General features: G+C 38.4%; 1 protein-coding gene and 1 pseudogene across 1 annotated transcript in view, besides 1 other annotated feature; one reads left to right on the top strand and one right to left on the bottom strand.

Moving 5' to 3' along the window:
- USP34 (ubiquitin specific peptidase 34) overlaps positions 1–16,196 on the bottom strand; it is a 283,625-nt gene that overhangs the window by 47,001 nt on the left and 220,428 nt on the right. Inside the window, exons 49-57 of the mRNA NM_014709.4 lie at positions 14,048–14,220; positions 11,861–12,014; positions 10,747–10,825; positions 7,303–7,356; positions 7,097–7,192; positions 1,862–1,926; positions 1,698–1,773; positions 1,563–1,610; positions 1,382–1,447 (exon numbers count right to left, since the gene is read on the bottom strand). Of these exons, the coding sequence (NP_055524.3) occupies positions 1,382–1,447; positions 1,563–1,610; positions 1,698–1,773; positions 1,862–1,926; positions 7,097–7,192; positions 7,303–7,356; positions 10,747–10,825; positions 11,861–12,014; positions 14,048–14,220 (811 nt within the window). The remainder of the gene's footprint in view (positions 1–1,381; positions 1,448–1,562; positions 1,611–1,697; positions 1,774–1,861; positions 1,927–7,096; positions 7,193–7,302; positions 7,357–10,746; positions 10,826–11,860; positions 12,015–14,047; positions 14,221–16,196) is intronic.
- Positions 12,731–13,025: a silencer, noted in NCBI's record as "tiled region #13579; HepG2 Repressive non-DNase unmatched - State 15:Elon, and K562 Repressive DNase matched - State 15:Elon". NCBI's record gives its function as "represses a minimal TATA promoter and a strong SV40 promoter by Sharpr-MPRA in HepG2 and K562 cells {active_cell/tissue: HepG2 | K562}" and the evidence as "EXISTENCE:reporter gene assay evidence [ECO:0000049][PMID:27701403]".
- BNIP3P45 (BNIP3 pseudogene 45) lies at positions 15,317–16,158 on the top strand (annotated as a pseudogene).

Consider the following 16,196-nt stretch of genomic DNA (forward strand, 5'->3'; position numbering starts at 1 on the left):
GATCTACTGAGACAGGTGGATAGGTGAATTTTTTTTTGGCGGGGAGAGTGGGGAAAGAGGAAGTGACAGATGATGTTAAGCATTTTCTAACAACATACAAAAGTAGTTAAGAGAGGGATGGAAGAAATAGGAAGATGATGTTGGCCAAAGAGTACAAAGTTTCAGGTTTATTTTTTATTTTTATTTTGTTAAATTGAGACAGAGTCTCACTCTGTCGCCCAGGCTGGAGTGCAGTGGTGTGATCTCAGCTCACTGCTTCTCTGCCTCAAGGGTTCAAGTGATTCTCCTGCCTCAGCCTCCCCAGTAGTTGGGATTACAAGTGCACACCACCATGACCAGTTAATTTTATTTTTAGTAGAGATGTAGTTTTGCATGTGGGCCGGGCTGGTCTTGAACTCCTGACCGCAAGTGATCCGCCCGCCTCAGCCTCCCAAAGTGCTGGGATTACAGGCGTGAGCCACCATGCACAGTCCCAAGTTTCTGTTTTAAATAAATTCTGGGGATCTTATGTACAGCATCATGACACTAGTTATAATATTGTATTGTTTTGAGACAAAACTGATTTAAAAAAAGACTAAAAAATTTTGCACAGTTTACTTGAGATTTGCTAAGGGAGGAGATCTTGTGTCCTCACAACTCGCACATACACATAACTACATGGTGATAGATGTGTTAATTAATTTGAATGTGGGGTAATCATTTCAAAATGTATACATACATCAAATCATTTTGTATACCTTGAATATATAAAATTTTTGTCATTTATACCTTAATAAAGCTGGTTAAGAAATATTTGGAAGACTCTTGAATTTTCTATACATAGTTTTCCTTCTGGTAGATGAAGGGGGGAAAAAATTTTTTTTTCTTTTTTTTTTTTTTTTGAGATGGAGTCTCACTGTGTCGTCAGGCTGGAGTGCAGTGGCACAATCTCAGCTCACTACAACCTCTGCCTCCCAGGTTCAAGCGATTCTCCTGCCTCCGCCTCCCGAGGTGCTGGGACTACAGGCATGTGCCACCACACCCAGCTAATTTTTGTATTTTTAGTAGAGACAGTGTTTCACCACGTTGGCCAGGATGGGCTCGACCTCTTGATCTCGTAATCCACCCACCTTAGCTTCCTAAGGTGCTGGGGTTACAGGCGTGAGCCACCACACCTGGCCAAAACATGAATTTTTAAGTGACTTAATAATCAATTATTTAATCAGTGTAATGGATGTGATATATAAATTATAACTTTCTCAGCTACCAAATGATTTTAAGAATGACTTCCATTTGGCTCCCTGTGACAGATAAAACAACTCTGCTGTAGCATCTTAGATCAGAGGGGGGGAAAAAAAAAAGAATCTTAAACTATGCATTAGTTGTTGAATTATCACCTTACCTCACAAGCTGCCTGACTATTATTAAACTGTTTCGTCAACAGTTCAATCCACTGAAGCATCGTGGGCTAGAAAAGAAAAGTCAGTCAAAGCATATGAACTTCTGAGCCAACAATAACAAAAACCAAAAGATATCTGATAAAAACATAAATGACAAAAAAATCCATAGTAGAAAACACATACCTTTTCTTTAGAATGAATAAATGTCTCTAGGACAAAGGAAGTGCTTAACTGTAAGAAAAGATAAAGCAAAAAAGCTTCAATCATTTTAAAGTAGTAAATTTTGACAGAATTATTTAAAGTTCATATATTTATTACCTTTGCTGTCATTAAGGACACAGCTTTAGGATCTGGTAATGTACTGGGAATACAACTACACAATTGCCACATAAATCTAGAATTTAAAAATAATCATTTAAAATTCACACGTAAGATTTTTTTAAAATGTGTAAAATATCTACTATGAAATTTACCAAACTTACCCAAAATATGTATGTTCAAAAATGTTTTTGTCTTGAAGAAACTGCATGTTATCATGCCAAATCCACTGAAAATAAAAATGTTAACATTAGTGATAAAGCAGTTTACTTCATTACATTTTACCAATATTTTTATTAGACAAAAAGTCTCTTCTAAAAAACCACAAAATAAAATAAAATCCATGCACTTTAAGTTCATTTTGATTTTTTCCCAAGTATATTCATATAAATGGTTGCTACTAATATTTTGTAATTATTAATACTTATCTGGCTACCTCAAGCAATTGTGAGGTTTTTATTGTATTTATAAAAATGCTGCAAGAATTCTGAAATCCTATTTGAAGAGCAAGTATATAATTGAATGAAATATAAGTCATGTTACATTCTGATAAGGTTACAAAAGAGAGGTTTACATTTAAAAGTTGGCACAATACTTAACTCTGGTTAGCAGACCTAAATCAGACGTGATTTGTTTATAAAAATCATGAAAAATTATTTCTGACATTAGGACTGCAGGATCAATGCTGTTTTTGTCTTCATCTGTCTGAATACCTTAAATATGACTTACATTTTTGTCAGTTCTATAAAACTATTTTTACCTAGATGTTCTGACTATTGATATTACTAGCTGTTTTTTGTAGAGTTATACTTCTGATTTTATTTTGGAATTTTGGTTGGTCGGTTCATTTTGAGCTGATTAAAGTCCCAACTTTATCTTTAATCTTCCACTGAAGATTTTCAACTATCCCTCTTTGCCTCTCCAGCCCACTACACTAATTTAGAACTTAATAGGGTTCCTGCTCTACAGTGATATTCCAGAAATCACAGTCTAATCAGTGAATAGCCGGCTTCAGAGTTCTTGGGCATTTCCAGGCACAAAAACTTTCTATTAAGCTGTAGCCCCTGTATCAGACTCTGTATCAGGCAGAGTCTGATAGCATTCTGCCCATCTCATTCAGTACTGTTTATAAATAATAAGGGAGCCCCATTCTAAACTCTGGATTCCAGCCATGGGCTCAGTTGTAGATTCTGTGTCACAATTTTTGTCCCTTCAACCCCATAATGGCCTAACTACTGGTCAACATGATCTCCTGGACCTAAAGGCTGGTAATACTGTGGTTTCTATCATATAAGTGCTTTTGGTTTTGCTCTGTTTTTGTTTTACAAACACTTGTCTGTTTGATAGTCCTTTTTATACTGTATCTATGTATGTGTATAGCTATTTTCTGTGGATTTTTTTTTTTTTTTTTTTTTTTTTTTTTTAAAGACAGGGTCTCACTCTGTTACCTGGGCTGGAGTGCAGCAGCATGATCACAGCTCACTGCAGCCTTGACCTCCCTGGTCTCAGGTGATCCTCCCACCTCAACCTCCTGAGCAGCTGGGACCACAGGTGCGTGCCACCATGCCCAGCTATTATTTTTGTATTTTTTTTTTTGTAGAGATGGGGTTTTGCCCTGTTGCCCAGGCTGGTCTTGAACTCCTGGGGTCAAGCAATCCACCTACTTCCCAAAGTGCTTAGATTACAGGTGTAATCTCATCCTGCCCACCCTGCCCAGCCACCCTAGCTATTTTCTTTTTTCTTTTCTTTTTTTTGAGACAAGTTTCGTTCTTGTTGCCCAGGCTGGAGTGCAATGGCGCGATCTCGGCTCACGGCAATCTCCACCTCCAGGTTCAAGCGATTCTCTTGCCTCAGCCTCCCAAGTAGCTGGGATTACAGGTGCCCGCCACCATACCCAGTTAATTTTTGTATTTTTAGTAGAGAGGGGGTTTCATCATGTTGGCCAGGCTGGTCTCGAACTGCTGACCTCAAGTGATCCACCTGCCTCAGCCTCCCAAAGTGCTGGGATTACAGGTGTGAGGCAACGTGCCCAGCCTTACCCTAGCTATTTTCTACCTAACTGTCCATCCTCATCTTGGGCCACTTTTCCTTGAACTTCCATCACAGCCATACAGGTCACTTTTTGGCTTCCAAAACATGCCAATAAGCTCTGTCCTTCCTAGGCAATTTGTACATAATGTTTTGCCTGGCCCGAAGCATTCTTCACATGATTACCTCTTCTCTAACTCTCAAGTTTCAGTTTAAGGTTAACTTCCTGAAGCATTTCCTGACCCTTTTCTAGCAATCACTATCAACTACACTTTCTGAGAACTGTTACCTTCTATTATCTGTAAGAATCATTACAATTTATAATTAGTTTGCTTAATCTCTTTTATGCTTCTAAAATGTTTTATGTTATCCTTTGGGATTAATAACTATGCTTTAAATGTACAAATCTAAAAAACCACATTCTGGTTTATATCTAAAACCATATTAATATTCATGTACACAGTATTTTACATTTTAAATTTAATTTTAAGAAAACATGTAGGCACACCCATTTAAAAATAGTAAGCTGGAACAATTATAGAAAAAATTGTTGGCTTAGGTCTGCAATGAGGAATTTTCTAATGTACAGGCATATCTCATTTTATTGTGCTTCACTTTACTGCACTTTGCAGATGCTGTATTTTTAAACAAATTGAAGGGCTGTGGCAGCCCTGCAATCAAGCAAGTCTATTGGCACCATTTTTCTAATAGCATGTGCTCACTTTCTGTCTCTGTCACACTGTGGTAATTCCTGAAATATTTCAAACATTTTCATCATTATTATATATTATTATATATTATATTATTATGGTGATCTATAACCAGTATGATTTTTGATGTTACTGTTGTGATTGTTTCAGGGTACCACGAACTACACCCATATAAGACGGCAAACTTAATACATGTTGTGTGTGTTCTGACTGCACCGAGTAGCTGTTCACTTTCTCCCTCTCCTCAGGCCTCCATATTCTCTGAGACAATACTGGAATTAGGCCAATTAACAACCCTACAATGGCCTCTCTGTATCCAGTAAAAGGAGGAGTCACACATCTTTCACCTTAAATCAAAAGCTAGAAATGATTAAGCTTCCTCACTTTAAATGAGGGCCCTGTCACACACACACACACACACACACACACACACACACACACACACACACACACAGAAGTTTGAGAACCACTGATGTAAATAAACAAAATACATCATCATTGTAAAGGTTTTATTTAAAATTTCATTTTACTTCACAAGTGGGCTAATTGTCATTAAACACTGTTGGGTACTTATATAAAGCAAGGTCTAGATTTGTCTAATATCTTTAGGGCAAAAGGCTGTGCACAAAAATGATTCAAATTAATTGTGGTTATGATGATGATTGAGATAAATTTTTATACAAATAGGTAAGTTTAGTAGCTTCAAATCTAATGAAGCCATTTATAATGAATACCATCTAATTCAGCTGCTAAATCCAATTCATGGAATTGAAAAAAGACAACATTCCTGGCTTTTTACCATTAACACATGTGCAGGCAAGATACTAGTTAAAAGCATTTGAGAACAATCCTGTAATCCCAGCACTTTGGGAGGCCGAGATGGGCGGATCAGGAGGTCAAGAGATTGAGACCATCCTGGCTAACACAGTGAAACCCCTCTCTACTAAAAATACAAAAAAGACATTAGCTGGGTGTGGTGGCGGGTGCCTGTAGTCCCAGCTACTAGGGAGGCTGAGGCAGGAGAATGGCATGAACCCAGAAGGTGGAGCTTGCAGTGAGCTGAGATCCCGTCACTGCACTCCAGCCTGGGCGACAGAGCGAGACTCCTTCTCAAAAAAAAAAAAAAAAAAGACTTGATCCCAATATTACAAAAAAAAAATTTTTTTTTTATCCAGATAGTAAAAGCTGAATTGCCTAGACAAATGCATACAATTTAATCAGGTGTGCATTTCTGGAGAAGATTTGCTTTTTTGTGTTTTTGGCTGACTGAATTCCTAACACCAAACCAAAACACATTCAGTTATGTACTCAATAATGTACTATTACTACTTACAACATTCTGAAATGAAGCCTCATAACTACAAATGAACACATTTGTATTCCTTAATATGTAAAATACATTTTTTTTTGAGACAGTATCTCACTCTGTTGCCCAGGATGGAGTGCAGTGGTGCGATCTCGGCTCCGCCTCCCAGGTTCACGCCATTCTCCTGCCTCAGCCTCCCGAGTAGCTGGGACTACAGGCGCCCGCCAACATGCCCAGCTAATTCTTTGTATTTTTAGTAGAGATGGGGTTTTACCATGTTAGGCAGGATGGTCTCAATCTCCGGACCTCGTGATCCGCCCGCCTCGGCCTCCCAAAGTGCTGGGATTACAGGCATGAGCCACCGCGCCCAGCCCATTTTTTTTTTTTGAGACAGAGTTTTGCTCTGTTGCCCAGGCTGAAATACAGTGGTGTGATCTCGGTTCACTATAACCTCCGCCTCTCAGGTTCAAGGGCTTCTCTCGCCTAGGCCTCCTGAGTAGCTGGGATTACAGGTGCCCACCAATACACCCAGCTAATCTTTGTATTTTTAGTACAGCTGCAGTTTTGCCATGTTGGCCAGGTTGGTCTCAAACTCCTGGCCTCACGTGATCCACCTGTCTGAGCTTCCCAAAGTGCTGGGATTATAGGCATGAGCCACTGCGCCTGGGTGTAAAATACATTTTAATGGCATTTCAATTACAATGCATGCTTGAGGGCATGGGTCTGTATCATGAGACACAACAGAAGGAACACTTACAAACCCATCATCCAATCTAAGAAGCAAAACATTACTAACCTCACAAATTGTTAAGTCACTCTGATTCCCTCAACCTTTCTGCCACCTTTTTAAATTTTTTTGAGATGGAGTCTTGCTCTGTCACCCAGGCTGGAGTGCAGTGGTGTGATCTCCATTCACTGCAACCTCCGCCTCCCAGGTTCAAGCAATTCTCTGCCTCAGCCTCCCAAGCAGCTGGGATTACAGGCGCCCACCACCACGCTCGGCTACTTTTTGTATTTTTTAGGAGAAACAGAGTTTCACCATTTGGCCATGCTGGTCTTGAACCCCTGACCTCGTGATCTACCCACCTCGGCCTCCCAAAGTGCTGAGATTACAGGCATGAATCACCACACCCAGTCGCCTACTCTCTTTTAGTGATATTTTCTACTCCATTTAATCTCATTCATTTTCATTTACGGGTCTTATATCAGTATTACCAAGACTATTTGTAAATACTCTTAAGATCTACTCAGAATTGCAGATATCAACCTGTAGAACCTGTTCTTACACTACAGTATTCCTTGCATAAACACTTAACATATTTTTAAAATGTTGCTCAAATGAAATTAACTTATACCTCTAGTAACTCTGACGAAACATCAAATTTGTATTCTCTGCCATTTTCTTCCTCTGGTTCCATGCGTTTGTAAAACAGCATATATGCACTGTGTGTCTTTAAGAGGCAAGAAAAAAATTTATTTTCATTTTGACAAAGTATTACTCTAAAAGTAGACAATGCAGAAGAAAAAACAATATAAAATTATACATGAAAAAAATGGTTACCTTTTCAAAAGAGAAGTCCATAAATTTATCTGTAACAGAATCATAGGTCTTGGTCTGTTTAAAAATACAAAAGTTTTACTTCTTTGAAAAAATGGGTATACTCAGCTATATTTATATATAAATTATTTCATAAACAGCTATTTTATACTTAATAGTAACTTTGTAAGTAGTTTTCAAACACCGCCGCCTTCATAAAAATTCTACGTACTTCACAATTTGGCCAATATATCCTAATATCTTTTTTTTAGTTTTTATTATTTTTATTATTTTTAGATAGAGAACACTATAAAGTTGAGACTGAGAAAATTTTACTATAACAAAAGAAAACAAATGATGACAGTGAGGCAAGAAAGTAGTTGGCCTTGTCCTAATTTTGGTAAATGCAATAAATAAGTGGAAATAAAAACTGAATTTAAATAGTTCTTTCTCAGCAACATTATAAATGAGGAAAGCATATTATTAAAATATCTCATTGGCACGAAGCTGTAATTTATTCTGACATGTCAAAACATCTACCTCCACCAATCCTTCACAAACATAATTTTGAACCTCAAAGTTGTAAGTAACTTTATGCAGATGAAATGGTTTTGTCAGTACACACTTTAAGCAATCCAACTGATGGGAGACAGCAAAAGAAGCATCAGAAAAAGGTAAGAGTCAGAAAAAGGTAAGAGTCAACCAAAGATAATACATACACACACACACACACACACACACACACACACACACACACACACGATGCAAAGGAAAGAAAAGGGACCATGAAGCAATAAGAAGCAATCAGTAAAGATCTAGAATTTGAATAAGAAAGAAAGGTCATAGGACAAAAGGAGGCTGAACAAAGGATCCCAGAGAGGTAAGTGAACATATGGCATATTACGAGAATTTAGTGGTGGGGCTTCTGAGAACTTAAAGACTGTTTCTTAATGAGTAAGGAGACGAGGATTCTACTGGTAATGCTGGAGAACTTCAGGTGTGCTGTGACAGAAAAAATTTAAAAAGCCAAGGGAAGCAGACAAGCAGCATTATGGGCAATGAAATCAGAAGGGACAGAGGCAGACATTTTAAAACACAAAGATTCAAAACATTTTTTTTTCTTTGAGACGGAGTTTTGCTCATCTCCCAGGCTGGAGTGAAATGGCTTGATCTCAGCTCACTGCAATCTCCGCCTGGTTCAAGGGGTTCTCCTGTCTCAGCCTCCTGAATAGCTGGGATTACAGGTGCCCGCTATCAAACCTGGCTAATTTTTTGCGTGTTTTTAGTAGACATGGGGTTTCACCATGTTGGCCAGGATGGTCTCGAACTCCTGACCTCAAGCAATCCGCCCGCCTCAGCCTCCCAAAGTGCTGAGATTACAGGCCTGAGCCACCATGCCCAGCGTACATTTTATATTTTTTTGAGACGGAGTTTTGCTCTTGTTACCCAGGCTGGAGTGCAATGGCGCGATGTCGGCTCACTGCAACCTCCACCTCCCGGGTTCAAGCGATTCTCCTGTCTCAGCCTCCTGAGTAGCTGGGACTACAGGCACCCGCCACCACGCCCGGCTAATTTTTACATTTTTAGTGGAGGTGGGGTTTCCCCACATTGGCCATGCTGGTGTTGAACTCCTGACCTCAGGTGATCCACCTGCTTCGGCCTCCCAACGTGCTGGGATTACAGGCGTGAGCCACCATGCCCGGCCTCAAAACATTTTTTAAAGATACTTTACCATAAAATATGTAAAAGAAAAAAAAAGTGGACCTGCAATTTGAAAAACTACTTTTTAAGAGAAGAGCCTTCCTCTTCTTCCTTCATTTTTTTTTTTTTTTTTTTAAAAGGAAACATTCGGCTGAGTACGGTGGCTCATGCCTATAATCCCAGCACTTTGGGAGCCCAAGGTGGGCGATCACAAGGTCAGGAGATCAAGACCATCCTAGCCAACATGGTGAAACCCCGTCTCCACTTAAAACACAAAAATTAGCTGGGCATGGTGGCGCGTGCCTGTAATCCCAGCTATTCGGGAGGCCGAGGCAGGAGAATCACTTGAACCAGAAGTTGGAGGCTGCAGTGAGCCAAGATCACGCCACTGTACCCCAGCTTGGTGACAGAGTGAGACTGTCTCAAAAAAAAAAAAAAGGAGACATTCTAGGCATAACATCTACAGATGCAATTGGTTTAGTGGTGGCTTTAGCAGTAACTCAATATTTACTTCCCTATTCTACCCATTTCTAAATTGTTAGCAAGTGGACTGCTTTTCTTTTTCCATTCAGCAGAGTAGACAAGAACACCGAGAAGCAATAAGGAAGCCCTTCATTAAAATCTGGAATGTGTATCATTTCTCAACTTTCGGCTAAGATCAACTATAAAATCCAGACTGTAAATGGTTAATTCATAACAAATATGGTTAAGTCAAAAAAACAACTTTATTTGGGCTAATCTATGAAACGGAAATGACTAATATTTGTCTTGTGAGAATCAAGAGAATATTTTAAAACAGTTCTCAGAAAATTGATACTAGGATAAACTGCCTATAGAGAAGTGAAATTATTACAATACTCCAACCCAAATGTCTTTTCAATATCTATTGTTGGCTAGGTGCCATGGCTCACGTCTGTGATCCCAGCACTTCGGAGGCTGCAGTAGGTGGATTACTTGGGTTCAGGGGTTTGAGACCAGCCTGGCCAACATGGTGAAACTCCACCTCTACTAAAAATACAAAAATTGGCTGGGGATGGTGGCAGGTACCTGTAATCCCAGCTACTCCCGAGGCTGAGACTCGAGAATAGCTGGAACCCAGGAGGTGGAGGTTGCAGTGAGCCGAGATCGCGCCACTGACTCCAGTCTGGGCGACACAGCAAGAATCCGACTTGGGGGCAAAAAAAAAAAAAAAAAGTCTTTTCTCAATTATGTCACATAGAAGATGTCCTTTTTCTATCCAGTATCTAGTGTTATCCAGGTTGCTGCTGGTGTTATAAAAAGCACTGAAAGAACAATCCTTTAAAACTTAGCTCAAGCCAACTTCCTTGCCAAACATTTTTTTAATTTCTTTTTTTCTTATTGTGAATCAGGTAGCCTCTTGAGCCACAGTAAGCTAAGAGAGACTCCCTTGTCAAAGATTTTTCAGATTAAGTCAGTAAACAGTAATTTCTCTTTGCTCTGATCCCACAGAATTCACTGAGTAAACAATTTACTCAATCTTATTCTCATGGCACTGTAATTCAACTCCCATACTACTAAGCTTTTTATTTCTCTTACCTTCTTAATCGGGCTGTTGTGGAAAGCAGAAATAGCACTTTAAAAATATTTCTGAGAACATACTAAACTTCCAATAAATATAAACTGAATAAATTTTTGATTTAATCATAGCAATTAAAAGAAAGTTAAGCGACTCTGCTATTGGATTTTATGATATGACAAAGCACTTGGAAGGACACAAACCATTTATAATTTCTGAATAAAACTTACCGTCATCTCTCCACCAAAACATTCAGATGCAAGTTGAGCAGAATCAAAAGGTTTTACCTCAGCATCATTAAAAAGATACCTAAAATAGAGCATATAGTATTAATCTAGTATGCATATAATGAGTATCTTCATATTATGTCTACTATTTTTTGAATAACCAATGTTACAAGTGTCAAATTATTTCATGAGGTAAATTCTAAGTTCTTATTTTTACAATTCTAATCTACTAGAAATTGGAAATATAATTTTATAACATATTCTTAAGCACCTTATAATCAGATAGATCCATTTATGACCTAGGATTAACAAAAGAATTCATAAAAGAAATAAAAAAGTTTGCTTTAATATAACATGTAACGCTATTAGGAAAAATTAAGAGATTGGGAGAACTTTCAAAGGTACCATTTCAAAATTTATGATCAAAAAAAGATTCAAAATATACTTATGGAAACATTCAAATGGATAAAAAAAGGAAAAGGCACCATGGACCTGATGGGTGAAGGAGTGAAAAATAACTCAATGAAATTATTCTGCTAACTGAAAATCAATTAACAATTGTACATTTTCTTCAAATCAATATCCCCAGCACTTAGAACAGTGCCTAGCACACATATAGTACCTATAGGCCAGACCCTACCTAACAATATCTGAAGACCAAAAAACAGGTACTGGGGACTGGTTTAATGACTTCCAACCATTAACTTGATAAAAGGATAAAAAGAAGTGTGTGTGGTCCTCCCAATAGGAGGTGAAACAAGCAGAGCATGCAGGTAACTTCTAATGGCACATATAAGGCTACACTGTAGAAGATATTCAATGAACAGCTCTTGAATGAATAGAGAAGATAAGAGTTGAAATGTTGTCTATAAATCTCCTAAAGTTGTCTGCAAAACTGTGTTCATTTCTCCAAGGAAAGGATTCAAATTCTCAAGAGTTAAAAGATCCGTATGTTTAAGAACTGATTTACACTGTCTGTTGAAAGTTATCTTCATTTAAAAATTTTGTCTGCCTCATTTCCAACTTTTGTGGCAAGTTTTTAGAAAACTAAACACTGAAAACATATCAGAAAACTACCATAAATTGTTAAAGAAGTTTTGAAATATTTAAAACTCACCATTTATTGTTTTTATAAGCATGGGGATTTACTATATCTCTGATAAAGCTATAATAGTGTCCACCATCTGCCGTTCCTGTGTGAACAGTCACTCCTATCAAGTCATATTCATAGCTCTCTGAGTCTTTTGAATGATCACTGACTTCTTTAAAACCTGAAATGATTTACACAGAATGGAAATAATTTTCCAAACTTCACAACAGTTACTTAGAAACACTTTTTAAAATAAACTTTATCAATTACAATATTTTAAGTCATTTTAATAAAATAAAAATAATTTTCCCAATGTGACGAGTTACTTAGAATCACTTTTATAATAAACTTTATTTACAGAAATAGGCACAAATAGTTTATATGTTAAATAGGTACAAAACAACTATCTGCTAGTCATTCACCATCCTTAGCCTACTACCATAAAGGACATATTAAACAAACCACTAGAAAAACAACCATGTGTTAATACATAATTATGGACAACTTCAATATAAAGTATAAATATAAAATATTTCTTTAATCTGACTAATCTTTTGAAATAGGTAATATAAAATGCTCCATTCTATTTAATCTTTACTAGGAGCAGACAAACCTAAGACCTAAAAAGGAATTAGCATACTTCTTTTATTCTCATGTTAAGAAAAGTGGTTTAAACATGGTTTCCTTTTAAAAAAAAGGAAAACGAACCAATGTACTGGCAGCTTCCAAATATATATCAGTTAATAAAAAACACTACGTATTAAGAGATTTGTGTAGACAGAAACAAAATAAAGAAAAAGGTACACTTCCTATCCCCAAAGATTTAAAATATAAAGGTAATAAAAGATACTGAGGAAAAAAAATGTAGAGTGGTCTAATAAGTTTGAAGATGATGTATGATTTATGATCTGTATTCCCACTACCACACAGAAAGGGAAAAGTAGAATACAGAATAAGGAAATGATGAGATCTGGCTGACTTGAGGGTACAGTCTGAACTGGAACATGAAGAGATAATTAGGTCAGTAAGAGAAGGGTATGACTCAAGGTGTCAAGACAGTGGCTGAGGAGTGTAGATATGCTTATGGAGGCAGTGCCAGGATCTGACTGCATCACTTGTGGCCTAACAAATTCCTTTATCCTGGCATAAATTCTGCTCTCTCCACAAGTGGAAACATCACAAGAAATATAATGAAGCACAGCTGTGAGGAGGTTCTGCTCTACTCTTCCAGAAAAAAATTTTTTTTCAAATAGATGGAGTCTTGCTCTACTATCCAGGCTGGAATGCAGTGGCATAATCATAGCTTACTGCAGCCCTGGACTCCTGGGCTCAAGTGATCCTCCCATCTCAGCCTCCTAATAGCTGTGACCATAGGCATGTGTCACTGCACCTGTCTAATTTTTCAAATGGTTTAATAATAGGTCTAAAAAGTAGAATGTATACATACAATGCCCACTTCTTAACTTCACCTGTCATCTCTACTGGTCCATGTCCTACAACTTATTTTTATTTTTTTGAGACAGAGTCTCGCTCTGTCGCCCACACTGGAGTGCAGTAGTGCAATCTCAACTCACTGCACCCTTCCTAAAGAAGGATAAACGAGCAAGAGGCCGGGCACAGTGGCTCACACCTGTAATCCAAGCACTTGAGGAGGCCAATGCAGGTGGATTGCCTGAGGTCAGGAGTTCGAGACCAACCTAGCCAACACGGCGAAACCTTGTCTCTACTAAAAATACAAAAATTAGCTGGGCCTGGTGGTGCGTGCCTATGGTCCCAGCTTCTTGGGAGGCTGAGGCACAAGAACTACTTGAACCTGGGAGGTGGAGTGAGCCAAGATCATGCCACTGCATTCCAGCCTAGGAGACAAAATAAGACTGTCTCAGAAGACCAAAAAAAAAAAAAAAAAAAAACCCCCACAAAAAACAACATAAAAAGACTTACCCCACGAGATTTAAGCTCCACAAGAGCAACAACCGTGCTTATCCTGTTCACCACTGTGTCTCCAGTATACAGAAGAGTGCCTAGGAACATAGTCCTAGTAGATACTAAATATTTACTGGTTAACTGACTGAATGCATGACATTGTCTTAACCTTCTCCCTTCTAAGATTCAATTTTTGTTAACTGTGTAGTTGATGACAACTTTATAATTATGCCTACCTTGTTATGGAGATTGACAATAATCACAGACAAGAGAAAGAAATGAAAAAATCACCTTCTTTCCTCTCACTCTTTCCCATAAGAAAATCTTCTGTATAGGGCGTCATGTCCAAACGTAATGGGAAGGAAAAGTGTGTATTCACTTTCTCTTTCATCATCGTGACCATATTAAATGTGTATCTCATAGTATTGAAACTCAAAATGCGAGGCAATTTCTTAAAACATGCCCTGAGAGACAAGAAAAAAATTAATAAAGATTATTTTTTACAAATACTTCAGTTGGTTTGATTTCTGTTATGCTATATCCATTTCAATTTTCAACTCAGAGTTAAGAAGTATAGTAGTTCCCCTTATCCACAGGGGATACCTTCTGAGAACACCCCGTGTCTGCCTGAAACTGAGGACAGTATCAAACTCTATATACACTACGGTTTCTCCTAAACCAACATACCTATGACAAAGCGAATTTAGAAATTAGGCACAGCAAGAGATTAACAAGTATTAATAAAATACAACAATTATAACAATATACTGTTCACAATTTCACAGATTTTAGCAACCTCATCGTATGTTTTCTTTCCCTATTCCAGATAAAGTTTAATTTATAAATTAGGCACAGCAAGAGATTAACAAGTATTAATAAAATAGAACAATTCTAACAATACACTGTTCACAATTTTACAGATTTTAGCAACCTCATCGTATGATTTTTTTCTTTTCATATTGAGAACTTTAAGGCATTTTACAGCTTCTCTTTGGCAAAGCCCAACTGTTAATGAACACTACTCTTGCACTTTGGTGCCATTAAGTAAAATAAAGGTTCCTTGAATACAAACAGTACAATACTGCGAAGGTAACCAAAAGGGCCACTAAGTGACTAATGAACAAGTAGTGTATACACCATGGACATGCTGGACAAAGGGATGGTTTACATCCCAGGTGGGGACTGTGCCAGATTTTATCATGCTACTCAGTCCAGTGGGCAATTTAAAACTTAAGAATTATTTTTGAAATTTTCTATGTAATATTTTCAGACCTTGCCTGTCTGCAGGTAACAAACTGCAGAAAGAAAAACCACAGAGAAGGGAGACTATAGAAGTATTCTAAATCACATTCTTATTAAAACTATACAGTCAGTCCCTGAGCACTAGGCAGCAGCACTCCTGCTCGCCCTTTTCCAACGGCCCACCACTGAAGGGCAGCCCGATGCCTGGCAGCCACCCTCTAGCACCATGTCACAGAGCAGAGTCCCCACGATGCAGAAGAAGAGTCTGCAGGGCTCCTGGCAGAATTACACTTTAGCAATAATAGGAATGGGGGCAGTGTTCCAGCCTGTTTCTGTTTCTACCAGTGACATGGAAAAAGTACTACTAGATGCCCAGCATGAGTCTGGACAGAATATCTCCAAGAGTTCTCACTGTGACAGGATACCTCGCTCTCAGACATCAGAAGATACTAACAGAGCTGCTGAAACAGCCAGCCATAGCATTGGAGAGAAAAACAGCTCTCAGGCTAGGCGCGGTGGCTCACGCCTGTAATACCAGCACTTTGGAGGGCTAAAGTGGGCAGACTGCTTGAGGCCAGGAGTTCGAGACCATTCTGGCCAACATGGCAAAACCATGTCTCCACTAAAAATATAAAAATTAGCTGGGTGCGGTAGTGCACAAGCCTGTAATCCCAACTACTCGGGAGGCTGAGGTTGGAGGGAGCCAAGATCACACCACTGCACTCCAGCCTGGACAACAGAGCGAGACTCAAAAAAGAAAAGAAAAACAGCTCTCAGTCTGAGGAAGGTTATATTGAGAGAAGGAAAGAAGTTGAAAGCATTTTGAAAGAAAAACCTCAGATTGGACATGGGATTGGTTGAGTTAACCAGAAAATATTCCCCCCAAGGAGTTCCTCTCATAAGGGCTTGCTGTACATTAACGCATATACTTTTTACAACAATCCTATAAGGAAGGTACTGTTAGTCTCTCCTGTTTATAGATTAAACACCCCACATGCATGGCCACTCTCAGCATGAGAAACACAAACATCATGAAGAAAGAGGGCATATTCTCTGCAAAATTTCTGAAGGTTTTTCTTCCATCTCTGCTGTTCTCTCATTTACTGGCCACTGGATTGGGAATGTCTATTAAAAGGTGGCTGACAACCTCCACCAGCACCTTTTCATGAAGAATTGGAACCTGGCTGTTCATTAGTGG

This window comes from Homo sapiens, chromosome 2, assembly GCF_000001405.40.
Source record: "Homo sapiens chromosome 2, GRCh38.p14 Primary Assembly".
NCBI classification, from domain to species: domain Eukaryota; kingdom Metazoa; phylum Chordata; class Mammalia; order Primates; family Hominidae; genus Homo; species Homo sapiens.